The following is a 23,565-nucleotide window of genomic DNA, read 5'->3' on the forward strand; positions in this document are numbered from 1 at the left end:
ACTCCATCCTTAGTGACAAAGCAAGACCCTATCTCAAAAAAATAAAATAATAAAATGAAAATGAAATCCCAAAGCATACGTGGTTCAGGCAATTGTACATACTTTTAAGTCTTAAAATTTTTGCTGGGCATAATGGCTTACAATTGTAATCTCAGCACTTTGGGAGGCTAAGACAGGAGGATCACTTGAGGCCAGGAGTTCAAGGCCAGCCTGGGCAACATAGCAAGACCCCATCTCTATTTCTAAAACAGAAAGAAAAAACTATGTAAAGTTTCTTAATTAAAGTTTTTTCTTGTTAAATATTTCTAATATACAGAAAAGTCCAAAAACTAATATAACTGATACCCATATACACACAACCCACCTTTGCTACAGATTTGTTTTAAAGGTTAGTCAAGTGAAGCAATATTACATATTTTTTCAAAAGAAATAAAACAGACCAGTCATGGTGGCTCATGCTTGTAATCCCAGCACTTTGGGAGGCCAAGGTGGGCAGATTGCTTGAGGCCAGGAGTTCGAGATCAGCCTGGCTAACATGGTGAAACCCCGTCTCTACTAAAAATACAAAAATTAGCTGGGCATGGTGGCATATACCTGTAGACCCAGCTACTTGGAGACTGAGGCACAAGAATCACTTAAACCCAGGAGGTGCAGTTTGTAGTGAGCTGAAACCACGACACTGCACTCCAGCCTGGGTGATAAAGCAAGATTCTGTCTCAAAAAAAAAGAGAAGAAAAAAAAAAAAGAAAGAAAACAATGCTAACACAGAACTCACACTTCCACCCTCTCCTCAGATACAACCTCCATCCTGAAGCTCATCTGTATGCTTCCTGTTTGTGTTTTTAAACTTTTACTATATCTTTATGTCCTCATAAGAATATGTACTATCATTTGGTGTTTTAAAGTGTACATAAATGCTGTCATCCTGAACAAATCCTCTCGCTAACTGCATCTTTAACTCTATACTATATTTTCAAGATTTGTCCATGTTGATCCACGTAGCTCCCTAGTTCCCTTTAACTGCTATAAGATATTCTGTTGCATCAATATATGACAATTTATGCATGCTTTGTTGACAGGTAATTGGATTTTTAGTGTTTTGCCTTTACAAAAATCACTGCATCTTTTGCACATGTCTACTTGTGCATATGAACTGAGGTAAAATTGCTGGGCCTTACTGTAAATATGTTGTTTTAATTCACTTTGCGCTGCTGTAACAGAATACCATAGACTGGGTGCTTATAAAGAAAAGAAATTTATTTCTCATAGTTCTGGAGAATGGGAATTCCAAGATCCATTCACAGGTTCGGTTGTCTGGGGAAGACTTTCTTCACACATCCTCACTTGGCAGAACGGAAGGGCCTGGGTTGATGCTGTGTGAAACCTCTTTTATAAGGGCCTTAGTCTCATTCCCAAGGAGGAGCTCTCATAACCTAATCACCTCTTAAAGGCCCCCCACTCAATACTATGACATTGAATTTCAACATCTGAATTTTAGAGGGGACACATGCAAACCATGTCATATGTCTTTATCTTTACTATCACTAAATTGTCCAAAGTGATTGCAACAGTGATTTATATACTCAACCCACAGAGTATAAGAATTTCTCCTTTCTAGCTGGGCACGGTGGCTCACGCCAGTAATCCCAGCACTCTGGGAGGCCGAGATGGGCGGATCACTTGAGGCCAGGAGTTCAAGACCAGCCTGGCCAACACAGTGAAACCCCATCTCTACTAAAAATAGAAAAAATTAGCTAGCTATGGTGGCGCACACCTGTAATCCTAGCTATTTGGGAGGCTGAGGCAAGAGAATTGCTTGAACCTGGGAGGCTGAGGTAGCAGTGAACTGAGATCGTACCATTGCACTCCAGCCTGGGTGACAGAGCGAGACTCTGTCTCAAAAAAAAAAAAAAAAAGAAAAGAAAAAAAATTTTCTTCTTTCTCCCCACAACCTTTCCTAACTCTTAAGGGTCAAGTAGTTGGGGAGAAGCTTCAGGAGACAACACAATATCTCTGATATGTCTTCCTTTGCCTTTCATATATTGTGAAAGCTTCTAGGTTTAAAGCACTTTAAGAATGTTTAGAGCAATACTTCATTATGCTGGAGCATAGCGGAGGAAGGGAACTAACTCAATTCTTTTGGGTTTCACAAATGAGCCTTTACCAGAACATTCCACAGTCAGGAGTTCTTAACCTTCTTTGTGTCTTGAATGAAGAGTAAACCACAAGATTAAACAACAATGTAGTAAAGTTTATAGACCTTTTCTCAAGGATTCAAAATGCATAAAATATAGAGGGTTACAAAGGAAATCAATCTATTTTTTTCCCCAAAGACGCTAGATATAAAAATACTTTTTAATTGTGATATAGTAATGTGTGTTTGTTAATTAAATAAGATATAGCAGTAGTTCTATTCACAGATAACTGCTGTGAATTTGAAGTAGTGAAGAGCACAAATAATATTTCAAGATATTTGCACCAAATCAATGTGATATAAAAGTATCTGTAATTTCTTTTGATGACAGAGTCACAGATACTGCTAAAACTACTGTAACTTGTTGCTTACATTCATAATAGAAGGAAATGCTGTATTTTAGTTAGAGGTTAGTGAAATGAGGATGTAATTTTACCCACATCCAAGTTCATGGACTTTATTATTCTGTCCACGAGGCCCAGATTTGATCATCAACACTTCTAAGTGCAACAGAACTCTGGTCAGTTGAGTAAGAAACAGATCAGACTCAAGCTCTGGAAAGTATTTGGCAAGGCATAAATAGCCATTATTCCATTCAAGTAGCAATTGCTGTTCTATACAAAAAAATGTGATGATGTGGTACAATGGGTTATAACTGTGGAAAATCATTTTGATGGAGAGGACACCAAAGCTGCAAAGGCTGAGGTCAACACTGAAGGGCAGGGGACATTAGAAAATCAACATCAAAACATCAGGCTGTGCAGTCAAAGGCCAGGAAAAGAAAAGCTTCTTTTATTAAAGACTGTCATAGTATTAATAAATGGAAAATTTTTTCTGCCGAAAAATGTTAGGTAATATCTCTCAATGCTTTGGTTAAAAATGGATTCCATTCACTTAGCATATGTCACTGTATTTTATGAAGAGCATCTTCAATAATTTTACCCTGTGATCCTATACCATTTCTAACCTTTTTAAGTACAATTGTCTCTGTTATTGTGTCTATGAATCTAAAATCACTGCTATGTTTTGAATGGTCCTATACTTTGTCAGTAGCAATACTGAAATCAAGAGGCTCACAGTTGTGTCCGTGGGAAAAATAGGTATTAATGTAAGATCCACTGGCTTTTAAGTTTCTCAGTAGTGAGCTTTCTTTTCTTTTCTTTTTCTTTTTTTTTTAAGATGGAGTCTCACTTTGTCGCCCAGGCTGGAGTGCAGTGGTGTGATCTTGGCTCACTGCAACCTCTGCCGCTGGGGTTCAAGCAATTCTCCTGCCTCAGCCTCCCGAGTAGCTGGGATTACAGTTGCCTGCCACCGCACCTAGCTAATTTTTGTAGTTTTTAGCAGAGATGGGGTTTCACCATCTTGGCCAGGGTGGTCTTGAACTCCTGACCTATTGATCCACCTGCCTCGGCCTCCCAAAGTGCTCGGACTACAGGTGTGAGCCACTGCACCCGGCCTCGTGAGCTTTCTTTTAAAGATAAACTTAGGTACAAAGGTGATATATTAACTAACAGACACATAGAATTCTGTCACAGGTTTAGTGAAGTAAATAATCTCCCTTAGAAATAAGAAATGTGGGCAATGTATTATAGTTTTTGAAATGTAATAGGTAAGTTTCATGAGCATTTTGTGAAGAAGCCTAGTTGACACATTCTTTCATTCATTCAAATATATATCAAGAACCCCATTCAAGGCTCCACCACCAGCCAGTGAGCGGACTTGGCCCCCATGCTTACTTCTCTTCCTTCTCCAATTTCCATTCTTTTTTTTTTTTTTTTTTTTTTTGAGACGGAGTTTCGCTCTTGTTGCCCAGGCTGGAGTGCAGTCATGTAATCTAGGCTCACCGCAACCTCCGCCTCCTGGGTTCAAGTGATTCTCCTGCCTCCACCTCCCGAGTAGCTGGGATTACAGGCATGTGCCACCATGCCCGGCTAATTTTGTATTTTTAGTAGAGATGGGGTTTCTCCATGTTGGTCAGGCAGGCCTTGAACTCCCGACCTCAGATGATCCGCCCGCCTGGGCCTCCCAAAGTGCTGGGATTACAGGCGTGAGCCACCATGCCTGGCCTCCAATTTCCATTCTTTCCCCCCTTTCTTCCTTCTTTCTTCGTGCCAGCTGCCACTGACCATTCTCTCCTGCTGCTGCTAGCAGCGTTCTTCCCCTTCTTGAGCCCCTTTGCACTTCGATTCTTACCTCACTTCTCCTTTACCCTTCTTTTTAATTCTTCCTGTCCATCTCATCAAGGAGAAAATACCTTATGTCCCCTTTGTCCTCCTTTCTAGCCCAAAGTTTTCCTGTCCCAACTCTGTCTTTAATGAGAAAAAATGTTCCGTGCAACTTTGCCCCAAACTGACTCCTACTTCTGAAAACAAAACAAAACAATTAGCTAGGAAAATTGAGACGCATACCACTTTTCTTCTAACTGGCCAGTGTTTCTTGTTCCCGGGTGAATCCAGAGCAGAGTATGTCTGCTCCTAGGCACATAGTTGCAAAGAGTGACCAACATGCAGCAAAGATTGACAGTGGTTTCAAACGTAGTGACTCGTCCACAGTTTCTCTTTTTCTTGACTTTTCAGCGTGTAATCAAAACTACTCAGAAAACATATTTCAGTATTTTACTGCATTTGTTAAAGGATTTGGGACACTACAACAGGAAGGCACTCTCATGGCAAGCAATGATGGCTGGCAGTTTAACTAGATCGTTACTGCTGCTGTTTCTGTGATGACAACCTCCACTTCTGTGTTCTTAGCAGTTGTGTAGAAATAGTCATTACAGCGTATTGAGCTCTTTACTATATGCTCAGCCCTTTTATGGATGGTCTTACTAATCCTCACAAAACTCCAAGAGGTTGGTACCTGCATTTTACAGGTAAGGAAACTGAGACTCTGAGAGGTTTTAACTGAGAGGTTAAAAATCACTTGCCCAAGACCACATAAATTAAATATCAGAAGCTAGGATTTGAAACTAGTTCTTTCAGACTTCAGAGGTTATTTTCTTAATTTTTATGCTGCCTGTAAGATGCTGAAAAAAAAAATTAGCCACGGAAATTACAAAAGCCCAGCTGCCTGGGCTCTCTCAGCACAGGGCAGGTAGCTCTATGTCCTCCCCAGCTCCCTGGGCCCACTCAGGGCAGGGAAGGGCAGGTAGCTCTGTGCCCTCACAAGAGAAGGCTCTTGATAATGGTGAGTTTTAGACATCAGTGGTGCTATAGTTCCAGTTTCCCCTTCTAAAATGTCAGTGAAATGTGAAATACATTGGAGAATGAAATTTTTTGAGAAAGTTCTGTCTCCTTGATTGGTAAAAGTTAGTTATCTGGGAAATTTGTTTATTTAAAACAGCTCATAGCTGGATAAAGAAGGTATCACATCATGTTAACAACTAATTTGTGTTATGTTTAAAAGACTGAATTTAAAAATGCGCTAGGTTAAGTTTCCTTATTTTGGTGACATGAAATATAAGAATGGGTTATAAAGTCATTCCCAAAGAAAATGATATTCAAGTACCTTTCTTTCATGTGTGTATGTTCCCTACAGCTAAGAAGAAATTTCCTGACTTGTTTGTCTTCTTGGAAGATTCCTCCTCATGTCTCAAAATCTTCCCAGTCAGAAGCTCTACTCAATATAACAAATAATGGAATACACTTTGCTCCCCTGCAAACATTTACAGATGAGGAAATGATGATAAAGAGTTCAGGTAAGTAAATTTATCAGTGTCACCTTTTTCTCCCCAGACAGGATCTCTGGAGCATAGTGGTGCAATCATGGCTCACTGCAGCCCCACCTCTGGGCTCAAGCTATCCTGCTTCAGCCTCCTGAATAGCTGGAAAAATATCACCTTATTATTCCTCTGGTCATGAATTGGGTCTACAATATGAAGTCACATATGACAGGATTGAAAGATATGTTCATCTAAATTTGTGATGAAGAAAAGCAATGCATATCCAATATTAAAACAACAGAATAAAAGGCTATGTAGTTAAAAGTGAAGACTCTCCCACCCATGTTCTCTAGTTCCCCAGTTCTTGCCACCTTGTTACCAGTTTCTTATATAGCCTTGCAGAGTTAGAAGTACATTTATATTCCACTTTTCTTTAGATAGTGGGTTTTCTTTTTCTTTCTTTCTTTCTTTTTTTTCTTTTTTTTTTTGAGATGGAGTCTCACTCTGACACCCAGGCTGGAGTGCAGTGGCGCAATCTCGGCTCACAGCAACCTTTGCCTCCTGGGTTCAAGCAATTCTCCTGCCTCAGCCTCCTGAGTAGCTGGGACTACAGGCACGTGCCACCACGCCTGGCTAGTTTTTTTGTATTTTGTTTTTTAGTACAGACGTGGTTTCACCGTGTTAGTCAGGATGGTCTCGATCTCCTGACCTCATGATCTGCCCTCCTTGGCCTCCCAAAGTGCTGGGATTACAGGCGTGAGCCACCATGCCCAGCCTAGATAGTGGGTTTTCATACTTTACGTGGAATTTCAATTTTACCTTTATCTATGAAACACCTGTGGTTGAAACACGGAGCCCAAATGAAGCAGAAGTTGTATACCACTAAACCTTAAAGCAGTTTGCATTCATTTATTTATGGGTATAGATATAGGTGTAAAATTATGATATATTTAAAAATCCATAGCAGAACATCAGAATGTTGTTCTTAGAGAATATGGATGTTAAGTGTATTCGTTTTCTATTGCTTGGTATTGAATCACTACAAACTTAACAAGTTAAAACAGCACCGGTGTAGTGGCTCACAGTTCTGTAGGCCAGAAGTCCAGCTGGAGCAAGTCCAGGCGCAGGGTCTCAGAAGGTCAACATCAGTGTGTCAGTTGGGCTGTGTTTTCGTCCAGAGCTCAGGGTCCTTCCAAGCTCCCGTGGTTGTGTCAGTACGCAGTTCTTTGCTGTTGCAGGGCTGAGGTCTTGTTGCCCAGCTGGCTGTCAGCCAGAGGTTGTCCCCAACTCCTGGAGGCCTCTGTATTCCTTGCCATGTGGCTCCCTCCATCTTCAAAACCAGTAACTCTCCCTCCCAGCATCGAGTCTCTCTCATCCTTAAAACCTGTTTCACCAGAAAGAGCCCCACCTTTTTTAAGGGCTCACCTGATTAGGTCAGGCCCACCAATCTCCATGTTTTAAGTTCAGCTGATTTGGAAGCTTAATTGTAAAATCCCTTCACAGCAGCACTTAGATTCATGTTTGAATAACTGAGAGAGGACATGTATACACCAGCGGCTGGGAATCTTGGCACTGTCTTAGAACTCTGTCACAATAAGTAAATTTCTTTTCTTTCTTTTTTTTTTGAAAGGGAGTTTTGCTCTTTTTGCCCATGTTGGAATGCAATGGCACTATCTCGGCTCACTGCAACCTCTGCCTCCTGGGTTCAAGCAATTCTCCTGCCTCAGCCTCCCAAGTAGCTGAGATTACAGGCGTGTGCCACCACGCCCAGCTAATTTTGTACTTTTAGTAGACATAGGGTTTCACCATGTTAGCCAGGCTGGTCTCGAACTCCTGACCTCAGGTGATCCACCAACCTCGGCCTCTCAAAGTGTTGGGATTACAGGCATGAGCCACTGCGCCCAGCTAGTAAATTTCTTTTCCTTTGCTCCCTCGCCTTTTAGATATGGTCTCAGGGAAGTGAGTTTGGGATAGCTAAGGAAAAACAAGAGTGAGTGGTTAGTTTACATAAATCAAAGAATTTGCTTAGAGTATCTTGATTCTCTGTCTTCAGTCTTATTTATTTCTTTAGTATCCACCTAGTCTAAGCACAGAAGCAATAAAGATGGGCAAGAAAAAAATCACTGCTTTTAAGGAACTCAGAATCTAGTGGCAAAGACAGTCGAATAAAGGAAATAGTTTCAGAATAACATGGTAAATGTCATGGAGGTATTTGGGGAACAAAGCAGAGAACACCTAGACTTTGCTAGGCGTGGCAGAAGTGGGCTAAGGAAGCAGTCAGGAAAGGCTTCCCAGAGAGTGTGGAGCTTGAGCTGTACCATGAAGGACAAAGTGCAGTTGGCCAGCTGGACAAGGGAAGGGAAGAGATTCTACATAATGAGAGTCGCGTGTGCAGAAACGAAGGAATACTGAAGCAAGCCACATGCACTGAACCCGGTTGCCTTCTCTACCGACTTGGTATTACATTGGTAGTAAACTTAAGAAGGTGTTTTCATCAAAATGATTTATAAATGCATCTAAGTCTTAAAAACATTAAAAAATGAAACAGCGGTTTTCAGTGGGGGCAAGTTTGCCCCCAGCGGACATTTAGCAACATTTAGAGACATTTTTGATTGCCACAACTTAGAAGTAGGGGACGCTCCTGGCAGCTAGTGGGGCCGTGGCCGGGCTGCTGCTCAACATCCTGCAATGCACAGGACAGCCCCACAACAAAGACTCACCTGCCCCAAAATGTCAATAGTGCCAAGGTGGGGAAACCCTGTTCTGTATGACCAAGCAGCTATGAAAACGACCAGGTTAGATGGGATATGCTGACATAGAAAGATCATCAAGATATAGTTGAGGGGAAGCAAGGCACACACCAGTGTGTATCTCATGATTCCTTTGTGTGAACATGTATGTGTACAGTTAAGTATAGATGATTTTCAAAGAAAAGTTTTCAGAAAGAATACATAATAAATTTAAAATTAGTCACCTTTGGGTAGAGTGGAAATGGCTTTCATTTTTCATTTTGTGCTTTCTTTATTGCTTGTGTTTTTGCACCATCTACACATATCATTTATTTTGTGAGGTCATCAAGAGTTACAAAGGGATATGGGAAACTACACCTTTCTATGTTAAAAAGAAAACTTTATAAATTCTATTTTAAAAATATAAGAAGGGTACCTGTGTATATTTTAACTTAGTTAAAATGTAAAATTTTGTCAGCAAACTATTAATGTGACTGTCACTTTAACATAGACTTATCAGTAATTCTTTTTCCTACAGTTAAAAAATTTGCTCAGGAACAAATTGCACCTTTGGTTTCAACCATGGATGAAAATTCGAAAATGGAGAAATCAGTAATACAAGGATTATTTCAACAAGGGGTACATTTCATAATTCTTCCACTTTCAAGCTTCTATAATTAAATTCAGGGACTGTAATGATAGCATAATGAACCCTGCATTTCCCAGTCAAAATTATCTGTTTTCTTTTTTTGGTTGAAATCCTACTTGATATTTATGTACTTAAAAGTTCTTAAAAATGGAATTAACATTTTTTAATTTGAAATACTGTATATTTTAAGGAAAAGTTTGGAAGTAAGATGGTAATTTATTTGTATCTTTAGACCAGCGGTTCTCAAATGGGGGCAGTTTTGCCCTCCAGGGGACATTGGGCAACGTCTAGGGACATCTTTGGTTGCCACAGCTAAGGCGTGCTACTGGCATCTAGTGGGATAGAGACAAGGGATGCCACTCAACATCCTGTAGTGCACAGGACAACTGCCACAACAAAGAATTATCCAACCCAATGCCACCATGAAGAAACCCTACTTTAGATAGTGAAACTTCATAGCATAGTTTATATTCTACCTGAAGCTCTATATAAGTGATAAACTTAGAAGCAGAGGTGATACATGAATTCCACATAAACCGGGCAACAGATTCCCATCTTCTCAAGTCACATAGCTCTTTAATGGAAATACAACGTATGAAATAGATACAAGTAAAACCGCTCTCACTGTGAGTAGGGGGAGGGGCTATTAGCATAGGGGCTTCTAGAAGAACATTTTAAAAATCACTGCACGCATCATTTCTCACTTCCGCAGAGGTATAAAATATATTTTTTTTAATTTTTAATACTAAAGATGTCCCAGAACAAGTGGCTGCTATTCAGAGCCATTGGCCTAAATCTTGTCTGCCATCTGGTTTGAAAAATAACCATTGCCACTTAGCTAGATAGTTTTATTTATTTCTGTTTTAAAGCAACCAGCTTTTTTATACCGTGTGTAGTAGTGATTCTTCCATCTTTCTTTTAGCAGTCAAACTCTTAGGAAACTGGAATCTTATGTGGAACCATAGTGGTCAAACAGGAGGCCGATGTGGAGAACAGATGGACTCTGTGAGTCCATTTCTCAGCCAGGTTTTATTTCTATTGCTTGCAGACCCTCTAGGCTTCTGGGAGCAGTCTCACGGTTTCACAGTGTGAGATCTCCCCCGCGGTGGTCGTTCCTGCAGCGGGGCTGTCTGCAGAGTGATGCATTGCCTGCACCCTGCTACTCATCTCCACAAACCACTCCTGTGCAGATGCAGCCTCACCTGCCTCCTCACTCCCATTGTCCTGGGTTTTTGGCATAATGGCTTGCAAAAACACTATTTCCACGTTGGGAGAGATTAGTGACTTTTTTAGAGAAGCAATGTCTCTGATATCTGTTCGAGTCATTGTAATGAGGTTTCCGGAGTGCCCTCCTCAGTTCTCAGGCAAACCCAGATCCTTCCGTTCTTCCTCGTTTCTGGTTTTCTCACCATTCAGTCGCTCGCATTTCTGGTTCCCTTTTCCTGTTGTAGCCCAAAATGTAACAGCCACAGCCCTGACTGCAGCATAGTGTGACTCCAGGAATGTCTAGAGAGAGACTAAGAGAATTATCCTTCTGTTAGCAGCTGTGGGTTTTGAATTACACATGCACACATTCTCTTTGTGAAATTGAGAGTACTATGTGAGTTTCAGTAACGATGGAACTGGGTCGTTGGAAAGGCTTGGCTGGCACTGGTCGTGTTTACCAGGCCCTCGTGCTTTGGCTAGTGTGGCTCTAGCAAACACCACCACATGTTCTCTGCTAACCATCCTGAACTTATGAAGTGGCGTAAAAGGAATGGTCATTCAATTATTAACTTGGCTGAAAAAGTCAAGGTGAAAGAGCCTGACTAGAAGAAACTTTGCCAAATGAAACTATAGACATCCCATTGAGGAGTAGGTTATTTTCTTCTGTTTCCTTATTACATTGAAATCAGCATAAGGTGGGTAGGGCATGTTGAAAAATCAAAACCCCACCTACCTGCTTTAAGCAGGCAACAACAGTTCTTAGCAAGAAAGGTCATCTAAGTATATAAGATATTTTCTCATTCCATTAAGCTACCCTTTAAAGCATTTTACCTCTCATTATTTTTTGAATCCCAAAAGGAAGCAAATGATAGCATATAATTTTATCCTTTTCAAATATACAGTTTCTGTTACAGATTTTTTTGTTACTTATGGCAAAATTGCTATACCAAATTAAAATAAAATATAAATACAAAATTTTAAAATTAAGAATAATTATGGTGGCTGGGTACAGTCGCTCACGCCTGTAATCCCAACACTTTGAGAGGTTGAGGTGGGTGGATCACCTGAGGTCAGGGGTTCGAGACCAGACTGGCCAACATGGCGAAACCCCATCTCTACTAAAAAAAAAAAAAAAAAATTAGCTGGGTGTGATGGTGGGCACCTGTAATCCCAGTGACTTGGGAGGCTGAGGCAGGAGAATTGCTTGAACCCAGGAGGTGGAGGTTGCAGTGAGCTGAGATTGCGCCATTGCACTCCAGCCTGGGAGACGGAGCAAGACTGTCTCAAAAAAAAAATAATAATAATAAATATGGTTACAGTTTATTTTTTAACTTGTTCATGCAAGAAATTTCCCCATATAAAAATAGCTTTCTTAATCTATGTTGCCTTGTTTTTTCTTTAGTTGATGGGTATTGAAGTTGACCCAGAATATGGAGGCACAGGAGCTTCATTTTTATCCACTGTGCTCGTGATAGAGGAATTAGCCAAAGTTGATGCATCTGTGGCTGTCTTTTGTGAGATCCAGAACACATTAATTAACACACTGATTAGAAAACATGGAACAGAAGAACAAAAGGCCACCTATTTGCCTCAGCTCACTACAGAAAAAGTGAGTTGAGATGAATTGTTGATCTAATGGATCTAATCTTTAGTAAGTTTACAATATTTTCAGGAAAAAAGTAGCTGCAATGTCGACTTTACTATCCAAGACCACAATGCGGTATCATTAATTCAAGCAATGCTTGATAAATTAATGCTGCTGGAAAAGTACACTCTACCTCTTATTTGCCAGTTGGAAATTTAGAAAATAATCATCAGATAATAAAATTATTTCTTTTTGTCCTGATTATATTTTCTAATACGTTTGTTGATGGTTTCATTTACGTTGTGATGTCTTTCTGCTGTAATTATTCAAATCAATTTCAATGAGTATGTGTTCGTGAGTCTTTAAATTTGTCTTGGACAAATAGGGTATATTTTTTGGAAAATAATACTTTCAGAATACCATTGCTATTTTCATAAATATAGGCTTTTTAAAAAAGCAGCTAAAGATTTGATTTACAAATGTCCATTTTTCCATAAGTATTTGTTATACAGAGTATAAATACAGTTATTAATTTGGACATTTTTTTCTCCCATATGTAGGTAGGAAGTTTCTGCCTTTCAGAGGCTGGAGCAGGTAGTGACTCATTTGCTTTGAAGACCAGAGCTGATAAAGAGGGAGATTATTATGTCCTCAATGGATCAAAGATGTGGATCAGCAGTGCTGAGCACGCAGGGCTCTTTCTGGTGATGGCAAATGTAGACCCTACCATTGTAAGTTTGAAAACGAAATTTCTTTCTTTTTCCAAACCCCTTCTTTTCTCTTTCTTTATCTTTTCCTCCTTCTGTTTCCTTTTTAGGACTTCATCTTGAACTCTTTAGTCTTCTCAGTACTGAAAATGTCAGACTTGAGCTGGCATTTTTTCACTTCGTTAATCTCCTAAAGTAAATATTGTTGACAAAATTATTAATTAGAATTGGCCCACCATATCTGTGGATTCAACCAACTCTGGATTGAAAATATTTGATTAAAAAAAAATTCTGCAAAGTTCCAAAAAGTAAAACTTGAATTTGCTTTGTGCCAACTACCATATTGAATTCACGTGAATAAAGTGACATGCATGTATTATGTTAGGTATCAGATAATCTAGAGATGATTTAGAGTCTACCGGAGCATGTGCATAGGTTATATGCAAATATTACACCATTTTATGTAAGGTACTTGAGCACTGTCAGATTTTGGTATCCATGGGGGTCCTGGAACCACTCCGCCACAGATATGGAGGGATGACTGTTTGTGGAGGACCAACTGTTACTTAGCTCCTAATGGGTTATGTAGGAAGCTAATCTTTTTTCTTTTCTTTTTTTTTTTTTTTTTAATATGGAGTCTCGCTGTATCTCCTAGGCTGGAGTGCAGTGGTGTGATCTCACCTCACTGCAACCTCCTCCTCCTGAGTTCAAGCGATTCTCCTGCCTCAGCCTCCCAAGTATATGAGACTACAGGTGTGCACCACCACGCACAGCTAATTTTTGCATTTTTTGTAGAGACAGAGTTTCGCCATGTTGGCCAGGCTGGTCTCAAACTCCTGACGTCGGATGATCTGCCTGCCTCGGCCTCCCAAATTGCTGGGATTATAGGCGTGAACCACTGCACCTGGCCCTAATCTTTAATTTTGTTGAATTTCCAATTTCTGTTTAGTAATGAAGAATTTAAGTACCTATTTAGTACATTTATTTTTAAGAATATTTTATTCAGTTGGAAAATAGACATATAGCAAAATAATAAATACATTTTTTCACCAGTAAATACAGTATTTTCACTAATGTAACAATTGAATTAAATTGTTAAAACTTTTTTTTTTTTTTTTTTTTGAGACGGAGTTTCGCTCTAGTTGCCTAGACTGGAGTGCAAGGCTGTGATCCCAGCTCACTGCAACCTCCGCCTTCTGGGTTCAAGCAATTCTCCTGCTTCAGCCTCCTGACGGGTGCCTGCCACCACACCCAGCTAATTTTTGTATTTTTAGTAGAGACGTTTTTTCACCATGTTGGCCAGGCTGGTTTCAAACCCCTGACCTCAGGTAATCCGCCCGACTCAGCCTCCGAAAGTGCTGGGATTACAGGCATGAGCCACCGCACCTGGCCTAAAACTTTATATAGTAAAATTAAATTGAGAACATGACATTCTCATGATTATATAATAGTGTAATAATAATTTTAATATTTATGATGGTCTCTGAAAAAGTGAAACAAATGGTAAGGTTCTATAGTTTGGATCTAATGTCCTCTAGCTGCTCTCGTTTCATAATGCCCATGTTGCAATTCTGAGTCCATTAGTATTTATTACCAAAGTCCATTTTTAGTTTTCTTTTTACTTAAACTCTTCAGAAACAAGGCGTTTTATAAATCCAAGTGGTAATAGCGTTTTAATTCTTCTTTTTAGGGATATAAGGGAATTACCTCCTTCTTAGTAGATCGTGATACTCCGGGCCTTCATATAGGGAAACCTGAAAACAAATTGGGGCTCAGAGCTTCTTCCACCTGCCCGTTAACATTCGAAAATGTCAAGGTGGGTATCGTAGACTAATCAGTAAAAGACTGATGCGAAATAAGCCTTGCATGGAACCACAGGAGGTGTGCAAGACAGGTGTCAAAATACTAAGTGGCTATAAGCACACGCAGGAGAGTATTTTGTAAAACCCTGAACAGCGCTCTTTAGTCATGACCAGATAAATGTACTTTTCACAAAAGTGGAAACCTTTCTGCCAAGAAGCTGTCCTGGGAAGCAAGTGCCAAGAATTCATCCCATTTATGTTTTATAACTTATGTGCTTCTGACCACGTATACTTTATAAGCTTGAGACTTGTGAACCAAATGGGGCCGCAGAGAAGGAAGTCTGGTGTCAGTGCACTAAAGGCCACAAGATGGGGGTGTTGCTCAGTGAGAGCGGAAACAGCCAGGCTATTAAACGTGAGCAGCAGAAGATCCAGATAGTTAGTGCTGATGCTGGAGAACTCCCTGTAGGTGGGGCAGGTGGTGTCGGCTTTTCCACCACTCATCACAGAGCTTGATCTTTTTTTTGCATGGCTGTGGGGAGTGAGGGGGAGGATGTCTTTACAGATGTCACTGGGGCCTCATTACTTCACCCCAACTGTTTTCCTCATTCTTACTTTCCCATTTCTTTCTCCATTCTTCCCTGCTCTCTCCCCCAACTACCCATATTACAAAACTAAGTATAGTTTTTTATTATTCTTAATTCTTTATTTTTTTAAAGTATGAATAAGCATTTTAGTCTGTTTCTTCTCTCTTCCTCTTTCTTGTGCATACACCTGTGTACACACATGCACACACACATATACCCCACCGTTGATTTTTATGAGGGTGAATGGTCTCAACAGCAGAAAGGCTTACTACACTTGTTTTTGCAAGTATTTGCAGATCTTTGTAGTTCCTAATATGTTATCTCACACTGTAGCCTACAGATAAGAATTGGGGGGGAAAAGTATTAATTTATGTTATTGATGAATTCTATGAGATTCCCTTACTCTAGATTCACTCATCCATTCAATACCTGTGCAAGGCTCTGGAGGATGCAATCATGAACAGCATGGACTTGAGTCCTTTTCCTCAGAGAGCTGTGGAAAAACAGCGTAGAGGGAGACACAGATGCCGGCAAGTTCTGTGAGAGGGCTAGCACACGAATTGAGAGTCTATGTGTACTTACAAATATATAATCAAAATGAATCATGGAAAATGAAACTGAGAAATAAGTGCACATTTGTATTTTCAGGTTCCAGAAGCCAATATCTTGGGACAAATTGGACATGGCTATAAGTATGCCATAGGGAGTCTCAATGAAGGTAGAATAGGAATTGCTGCACAGGTAAGTCAGATTTAAACTCTTCCATGATGTGAGTCAATTAAACTGTGAAAAGAAAAAAATGCAATGAGACCAATGAATATTTGGAAGCTTATGGACACAAGATGGCACCGTTCCCTTACATGAGGGATAGAATGGCTTATTATTTCTTTCAAATTCCCTTTTGGTCAATTATGTAAGTGTCCATAGAACCAAACAATGGCTTGGTGGTAACAGTGTTTCTGCTTTGAGAACATTAAAGTATTATCTAATACCTGAACCGATAGCTTTTCAAATGTATTGTAAATTAAATATGGCACTTTAAAAAAAATCAACTTTTCAAAGCATGAAATTCATTCTGGAAGGAATTTTTTACATTAAGAATAAATAATATTCCTTCCACTGTGTAGTAAAGATATCTATAGTTAATAAAAGATTTGTTGCTTACTGTTTTGCATGTGAAAACTGGGCAAGTTTTTTGGCGGCACATGAAATAAAATAGCCACAGTTAAGTAGATACATAAAATGAGAACTATTCAAAATTTTTTTTTACCAAATTTGGCTTTTATAATGCATATTGCATTTTTCTATTAAGTAATATCAGTTATTTTCCAGATTAACAAAATGAATAAGGTCTTTGGCTTTACTTTAGTGTCAGTTTTGTAGAGTGTATATATATATATATATATATATATATATATATATATATATTTTTTTTTTTTTTTTTTTTTTTTTGAGATGGAGTCTTGCTCTGTTGCCCAGGCCGGAGTGCAGTGGTGCGATCTCGGCTCACTGCAAGCTCCGCCTCCTGGGTTCATGCCATTCTCCTGCCTCAGCCTCCCGAGTAGCTGGGACTACAGGCGCCCGCCACCACGCCCAGCCAATTTTTTTTGTATTTTTAGTAGAGATGAGGTTTCACCATGTTAGCCAGGATGGTCTCAATCTCCTGACCTCGTGATCCACCCGCCTCGGCCTCCCAAAGTGCTGGGATTACAGGCGTGAGCCACCGCGCCCGGCGTTTGTAGAGTATATTTTTAATCAGTGATTATACAAAACTCAAGAACTTAGAGCTTTTCAGTTTTGAAGATGTTACATATAAGCTATTGGAATAAATATTAGATTATTACTCTAGATTTTTTTCTGCTGCTGTTACTTTGCTAACTATTTTTAGACCAAAACTTAGTCTAGTTTTCCTACAATGCTTGACAGTGTGTCACTAAAGAATATTGTTTTATCAGTTCTCTTAAAAGTTTTTCTGTGATTCAACTTAGACATGACATTAGAAACTGCAATACTAGAGCTCATTTTTTTCAGACATATAAATAATATAGATGTTCTGGCAATAAAATACACAGCCTGGGCTTCAGTTTAATTACTCCAAGTTATATAATAACCTAATTAAAAGTTAAGATCAGGTAGTTACTATCTCAGTGGATACCTTTGAGAGGAAGAGGCACACGGAGTATAACAGTGAACTGAAGGCATCTGTCCTCGAAACCTTGCAGGCAGAGAGAATTCAGTTTTTCAGTGTTTGTAGTAGAAACATTTTACTGAGGTAGAAAAGCCCATTTTGATGGATAACTGATTATTTCAGTCTTCGTGTCAATATAGGGTATTATTTATGTACAAATTTTAGCTGTAAGGGTATAGTGACATCATCTTATCTCACAGCCAAGAGTGCAGTGAGTCTGCTGCCTCATTTGAATTTGGGGTTTGTGGTTTTCTTGTGCCTTTAATTTTTAACATATTATTCTGTTCTCTAGAGAGTTCAGAATAAAAGACTAAAAGAAAATGTGAATGAATACTAATGAAATAAATTGATAAGTCTGCTGGGCATTTCCCCCAAAAGCTTTAGCTATTGATTTTCTAAAACCATAATTTGACATAATTACTGATTTAGTGGCTACCTAATGTTGAAATTTAGAAACGATTTCTAAGCTTGAATCATATAATAGATATGAAAGTTGGTTAGCAGTGAGACAGTTCAGCTAAAATTGTCACCACGTCCTGTGTAAATTAATGTTTTTACTAGATGCTTTCTATCCATTGTTCTCAACCCTAGCTGTGTATTAAGTCACTAAGGAGTTTTACAGAGTTGAGGTTTAGGTCACACTCCTTCACCTACTCTACTCCCAAGATTTGGATTCAGTCATTAGGCCTGGGTATCAGTATTGTTTTAAATCAGATTCCCCAAATGATTCTATGGTACAGCTCGGATTCAGAACCACTGCTCTCTTATGTTCTAATGCCCTCCCATTGAAGCTCTCATTAATCCTAATCATATACAAAATAGACGGAAAGGTAGAAAGTTAAGAAGTGACCTTCCATATTTTACTTCTAGAAGAACTGGAGGGCCTTCCTCTATAGCCTTCAAGGCCAGTTCTGAGCAAAACTTCTATGGCTCATTTTATACCTGGAGAATCAAAGCTTAAGGAAGATTCCTAAAGAGTAATCTTAACCTAAAAAGGTTGTGTGAACACAGCCTTGCTGGGAGATTTACCTCTGCTAGAATTAAATGTGCTCATATTCACATGAAATCACTCAAAATTTTCTCCCAATTATTGGAAGTTCAGTTCTACAAATGCGGTGGGTGAGGATGTGTTATTAACACACACCTCACCACCTCAGCATCTCCAGTTCTTCCCCTGCCCCAATCATTCAATTTATGTTTAGAGGGAATTCACAACTTGGATAATTAAACTTATAACAAAATAAGAAATTCTGATCTTATTTTTTTGTTTTAACAGATGCTGGGACTGGCGCAAGGATGTTTTGACTACACTATTCCATATATTAAAGAAAGGATACAATTTGGCAAAAGACTATTTGATTTTCAGGTATGTAATTATTAGGGTCTTTCTGCTGTGTTAGACTTCCCCAGCTTCCTGTTAATGAAGGGCTGTGTTGAAATCCATGGAGGGAATCCCTTCAGGGGGATTTTAATGGGAGATGGGTAGGGGAGGAAAGAATAGGTCTCAGGGAGTGTACTTGTGAATGCCTTGATCTTTGCCAAGGGCAGAGCAGTAGTCCTTGAGGCCCAGCTATGGCATGATTCAGGATATCTCGGTGAGCACCGTGAAGCTGTCTCCTCACTGCTTCAGAAGCTCAGGGCAGGGGGTCTGGAGTCAGACTTCCTGGATTCAAATCCTGGTTCTTTCACTTACCAGCTTTAGGCCTTAGGCAAGTGACCTCATTCTAGTCTTAAACTGCCTCATCTGTAAAATAAAGGTAAAACTACTTACTTACCCCGGTTTAAATGAGGTATGTGTAAAGTGTTTCACACACTGCATTGGTATAGCATGTGCTCAGTAAATGGTAACACTTGTTATGGGTCCCCTATTCAGACCAGAACCATGTGGTAATCCTCAGAGGACTGTACTTTGACACCTACGTCTCATGGAAGATACAGTTTGCTGCATTAAATACAAATGAGGTGCAGTCAGCCAAGCACTTGGGTAATACTGATTTGGTCCAGTGCTGTGGCTTCTCAGAGCTCACCAGGCAATCTGGGGATTCCTTGGTGGCAGTGGTATTCTTCCTGCCCTCCTTGAGATCTTGCCAGGGTGGGGGCAGCCTGGAGTGGCAGCTTACCAAACCTTTTAGGCAACCTGAAGGCATGTCACCTAAAATTCCAGAATAATTACTTTACATGGTTGCAAAACCTCCCCTTAAGCAGCTCTGGGCTCCAAGTACAATTTATGATTGCATTGCCAACTGCATGTTGCATTGTCTTCAGGTTTATAATAATGACTAGGCATCCTACGAGCACACTCAGATTGCACATGTGTAGAGATACGAGGCTGTGGACATGCACAGTCAGTTCAAGACCCAGAAGGACTGAGAGTGGCAGGCCTGGCCAGTGCCTACCACAGCCCATGCTGTCATTCCCATCTTATGCCTAGGAACCTGAAGCACACGGAGGCTGAGTTCCCAAGGTCATAAAGCTAATATGGGGCCAAAAGTAGAGGTTTTTTTTTTGTCTTGGCTTCTAGTCGAATTTTCATTATACTAGAGTACTTTCTCAGCCAGCTACCACAAAGATTGCAGTGAAAGAGACAGAATGTAAAGGTTGTTTTGAAGGGAGGCTTTTGATCTTCTTTATGCACAGGAAACTATGTTCTTGTGCATATAGATAGATAGATCAATAGACAGAAGGGGTCAGGTATACTAACAGGTATAATCATAATGACATCTTTAGAGATGCCTAGTATGGATAGTTAGAAGAACACTTAGATTTTTAAAATTTATGTATTTATTTATTTATTTATTTTTATTTATTTATTTTGAGACAGAGTCTCGCTCTGTCACCCAGGCTGGAGTGCAGGGGCGCTATCTTGGCTCACTGCAAGCTCTGCCTCCCAGGTTCACACCATTCTCCTGCCTCAGGCTCCTGAGTAGCTGGGACTACAGGCACCCGCCACCACGCCCAGCTAATTTTTTGTATTTGTAGTAGAGACGGGGTTTAACCGTGGTCTTGATCTCCTGACCTCGTGATCTGCCCGCTTCGGCCTCCCAAAGTGCTGGGATTACAGGCGTGAGCCACTGCGCCCAGCCTAATTTATTTTTTAAAAATTTTGTGGGTACACAGGTACCCATAAACATTTATGAAGTACATGAGATGTTTTGATAGAGACATGCTATGTGAAATAAGCACATCAAGGAGAAGAAATTTTGATCTTAAAAAGCAACATTATTATAGCTGTATAATGCTTTGATTAAAGTTAGTGGAGTTTTTTCTAACACATTATCTTATGTTTGCTTTGCATGCATTCGTTCATATCTTTCTGACCTCAAGACTACATGGTCCTTGAGGGTAGAGACCAGCCTATTCATCTTTATTAATTTCAATTGTTTATTCAGTATAGATTTATTTAGCATGTTCTCCATGCCAGGCCTTGTGTTCACAATGTAGTTAGGGAACGAGTATTCAGCAATGGTGAGTTCTTGTAGAGGAGGAGACATGCCTCAGTCACTTTCCTGCCTCTCTCAGTACTTAATGTGGCAAAGGGAATAGACAGCATGGATGGTGACTGTAAGTTTAATTGAACTGAATGTAGTTTGCAAAAATAATCAGAATCTCTGAGTTCCACATAAAAAGCCAAATTCCTAGAACAGTGATACTTGTATAGAAACAGACAAATTCACTGATGGAACAAAACAGAAAAGCCAGAAATAGACCCATGCATGCAGCAGATTTGATGTATGATAGAAATGGCATTACAGATCACTGAGTGGGAACATTCTTTCTACGTGAGAAAATAATGAAACTGTATTCCTACCTCACACCATACATACAAAATAGATGTCAGATGTAAAGACGTGATCTTAAAAGCAAAACTTTAAAGATTTTAGGAGAAAACAGAGAATATCTTTATAACCTCATGGTAGGAAAGGTTTTTGTAAACAGACACAAAAAGGACTAATCCTAAAGATAAGATGGGTGGTAAGATTGGTAAGTTTTTTTCCTTGAAATATACCATAAAGTGAAAAGATAAATCACAGGGGAGAAGATATTGACTCTGCACATAGGTTTGTGGGTGTTTAACTTACTATTATGCTTTATAGCCTACATATACGGAACATCGTCTCTTTTTGTACATACGAAATTGTTGTGTGTATCACATATTTCAGAAAGAGAAAGAGAAGAATCTGTAGGGTATTAACAAACAGTGCTGTTTTTCTCCAACTTTTCCCTCCCTTTTGTTTAAGAAAGGCCATTCCTGGGATTCGTGTGTGATTGACTTAATCAAGGTTCACTGTCTTAATATTCATCACACATTATTATAATTATTTAATTGTCTGTTCTTCCTGCTGGACTATGTATTATAAATCATGAGAACAAGGAACTCTGGCTGTAATGTTCAGTGTGCTGCCTCTGTCACTCAGGGCGGTGCCTGCCATCTCAGAGGTGCCCAATAACTATCTGGGTGGATGGATAGGTTAGGCATGAGAAACATTTCAGTTTGTAGTAAACATCTGTGCCTGTTATTTGCAGGAAATTGTTTATAAATGTTAATGTTTGTATTCTGGCTCACTAAGTTAACTGTTGTTTCTTTCATTGGCAAACATTTAGTATGGACCTAATCACCCTCTAAAATTTCAGGGTGGTAGTAATTGGTGCTTCAAATATTCTTCATTACTTTGTAGCTAACATTTTTTAATGCCTGGAAGCCATATGAAAAATCAAAATTTTCTTAACTCAAGCAAATAAAGAATATATTCAAAGTTTTGCTGTGCCAGGATTTCATTTAAGCTCAATTTTGATCAAAAGAGAGTTGAAATAATTATTAAATATAACAGTCAAGTTTTTAAACCTAACTTTGTTATACTTTACTATTTAAATCTTGAAAATCATGAAGACTTACATGAACTTTGAAGTTTTTCTAGGAAAAGAGGATTTAACAATACTTATAGTGTCACATTTCATTTTAGATTACTCATTTTAAAGTATTTAAAAGACGTGAATGTAAATTTCCTTTGGGGTGTATTTTGAGTCTGTCAGTGTTGTGTATCTAGGCAGGACTTTGAGGTTGAGGTGCTTGCTTTTTTGAAATCATAATTCTCTAACTTGGGCCTGACTGTTACAGGGCCTCCAACACCAAGTGGCTCACGTGGCCACCCAGCTGGAAGCTGCAAGATTACTAACATACAATGCTGCTAGGCTTTTAGAAGCTGGAAAGCCATTCATAAAAGAAGCGTCAATGGCCAAATACTATGCATCAGAGGTAAAAAAAAAAAAAAAAAAAAAAAAGGAAAAAGTAATTCAGCCTTTTTTTTTTCAGATATATACTTATTAACATTTTCTCTTGGGAATGTTGATTGTACTTTGGTTGTTTTTCAAGTTAAGATAACATGGACTTTTATTTCTTATAATAGAAAAGCAAAAAAGGAAAACTGCCATAGGAAAACACTTGAATTCTGTGAGGTCTCAATGTTTCGTTGAGTAGCCCAGCTCAGCTAGACCACCCATCTCAAACTGCCATAGGAAAACCTTCAGTTCTGTGAGGTCTCCATGTTTCGTGAGTAGCCCAGCTCAGATAGACCACCCATCTCAAATCCATGGCTGAGCCTCCTCTGAATGAGGGTGTCATGCCTATGGTGTCAAGTTCGGGCAAAGTGAATGCCGTGGAAGATGATGGGTCCATCATGTGAACAAATCAGATTTAAAACACCAAGAAAAGATTGTCTAAAACTTTCTACTCATACATTTGCTTTCTAGAGCTAACACATTAGACTGAGGCTAGAGAATTTAGCCAAATCACTGGGCAGCTGTTTCGTAGCCTCAGCAGTATCTTATTCATTCCATGGCTTTAAATTCTCATTTAACCTCTCCAGCCCATAAATTAAATATCCTACCTCAACTTCTTTCTGAATTCCAGACTAACATGTCCAACTTCTGCTTCACCATCAGAACCTGAGCGTCATCTTGGCACCCTGCTTTCCCTCACCCCCCACATTGAGTCCAGCATCATTTCCTATGATTCTACCCCTAAAAGATTCCTTAAATGGTGTGTTTGTCTCCCTCTCCACTGCCACCTCTGTACTTCAGTCACCTCACTGCCCTCCTGGTCCCTGGTGCTTCCTCCCATCCAGCCTCTCTCCTTTTTCAAAGTGGCAGTGAGGCCATGTCACCTTCCAGCTTTAACCCTTCAGTGGCTTCTCACAACAAATGGAGCTCTATCTGTACTAGATTCCAATTGCTGCTATAACAAATTACCAAAAAGTCGGGGA

At 39.5% G+C, this 23,565-nt stretch overlaps 1 protein-coding gene across 2 annotated transcripts in view, besides 1 other annotated feature; it reads left to right on the forward strand.

Moving 5' to 3' along the window:
- The window catches only part of ACADSB (acyl-CoA dehydrogenase short/branched chain), a 49,285-nt gene that overhangs the window by 19,622 nt on the left and 6,098 nt on the right, over positions 1 to 23,565 (forward strand). The window contains exons 2-9 of one of the 2 annotated variants that reach the window (NM_001609.4): positions 5,729 to 5,888; positions 9,120 to 9,220; positions 11,839 to 12,045; positions 12,582 to 12,752; positions 14,419 to 14,544; positions 15,766 to 15,858; positions 18,582 to 18,671; positions 22,422 to 22,559. In NM_001609.4, coding sequence (NP_001600.1) covers positions 5,729 to 5,888; positions 9,120 to 9,220; positions 11,839 to 12,045; positions 12,582 to 12,752; positions 14,419 to 14,544; positions 15,766 to 15,858; positions 18,582 to 18,671; positions 22,422 to 22,559 — 1,086 coding nt within the window. The remainder of the gene's footprint in view (positions 1 to 5,728; positions 5,889 to 9,119; positions 9,221 to 11,838; positions 12,046 to 12,581; positions 12,753 to 14,418; positions 14,545 to 15,765; positions 15,859 to 18,581; positions 18,672 to 22,421; positions 22,560 to 23,565) is intronic. The other variant, NM_001330174.3, reaches the window with a different exon arrangement.
- Positions 14,786 to 15,080: an enhancer, noted in NCBI's record as "tiled region #13327; HepG2 Activating DNase unmatched - State 12:CtcfO, and K562 Activating DNase matched - State 12:CtcfO". NCBI's record gives its function as "activates a minimal TATA promoter and a strong SV40 promoter by Sharpr-MPRA in HepG2 and K562 cells {active_cell/tissue: HepG2 | K562}" and the evidence as "EXISTENCE:reporter gene assay evidence [ECO:0000049][PMID:27701403]".

This window comes from Homo sapiens, chromosome 10, assembly GCF_000001405.40.
Source record: "Homo sapiens chromosome 10, GRCh38.p14 Primary Assembly".
In the NCBI taxonomy this organism is placed as follows: domain Eukaryota; kingdom Metazoa; phylum Chordata; class Mammalia; order Primates; family Hominidae; genus Homo; species Homo sapiens.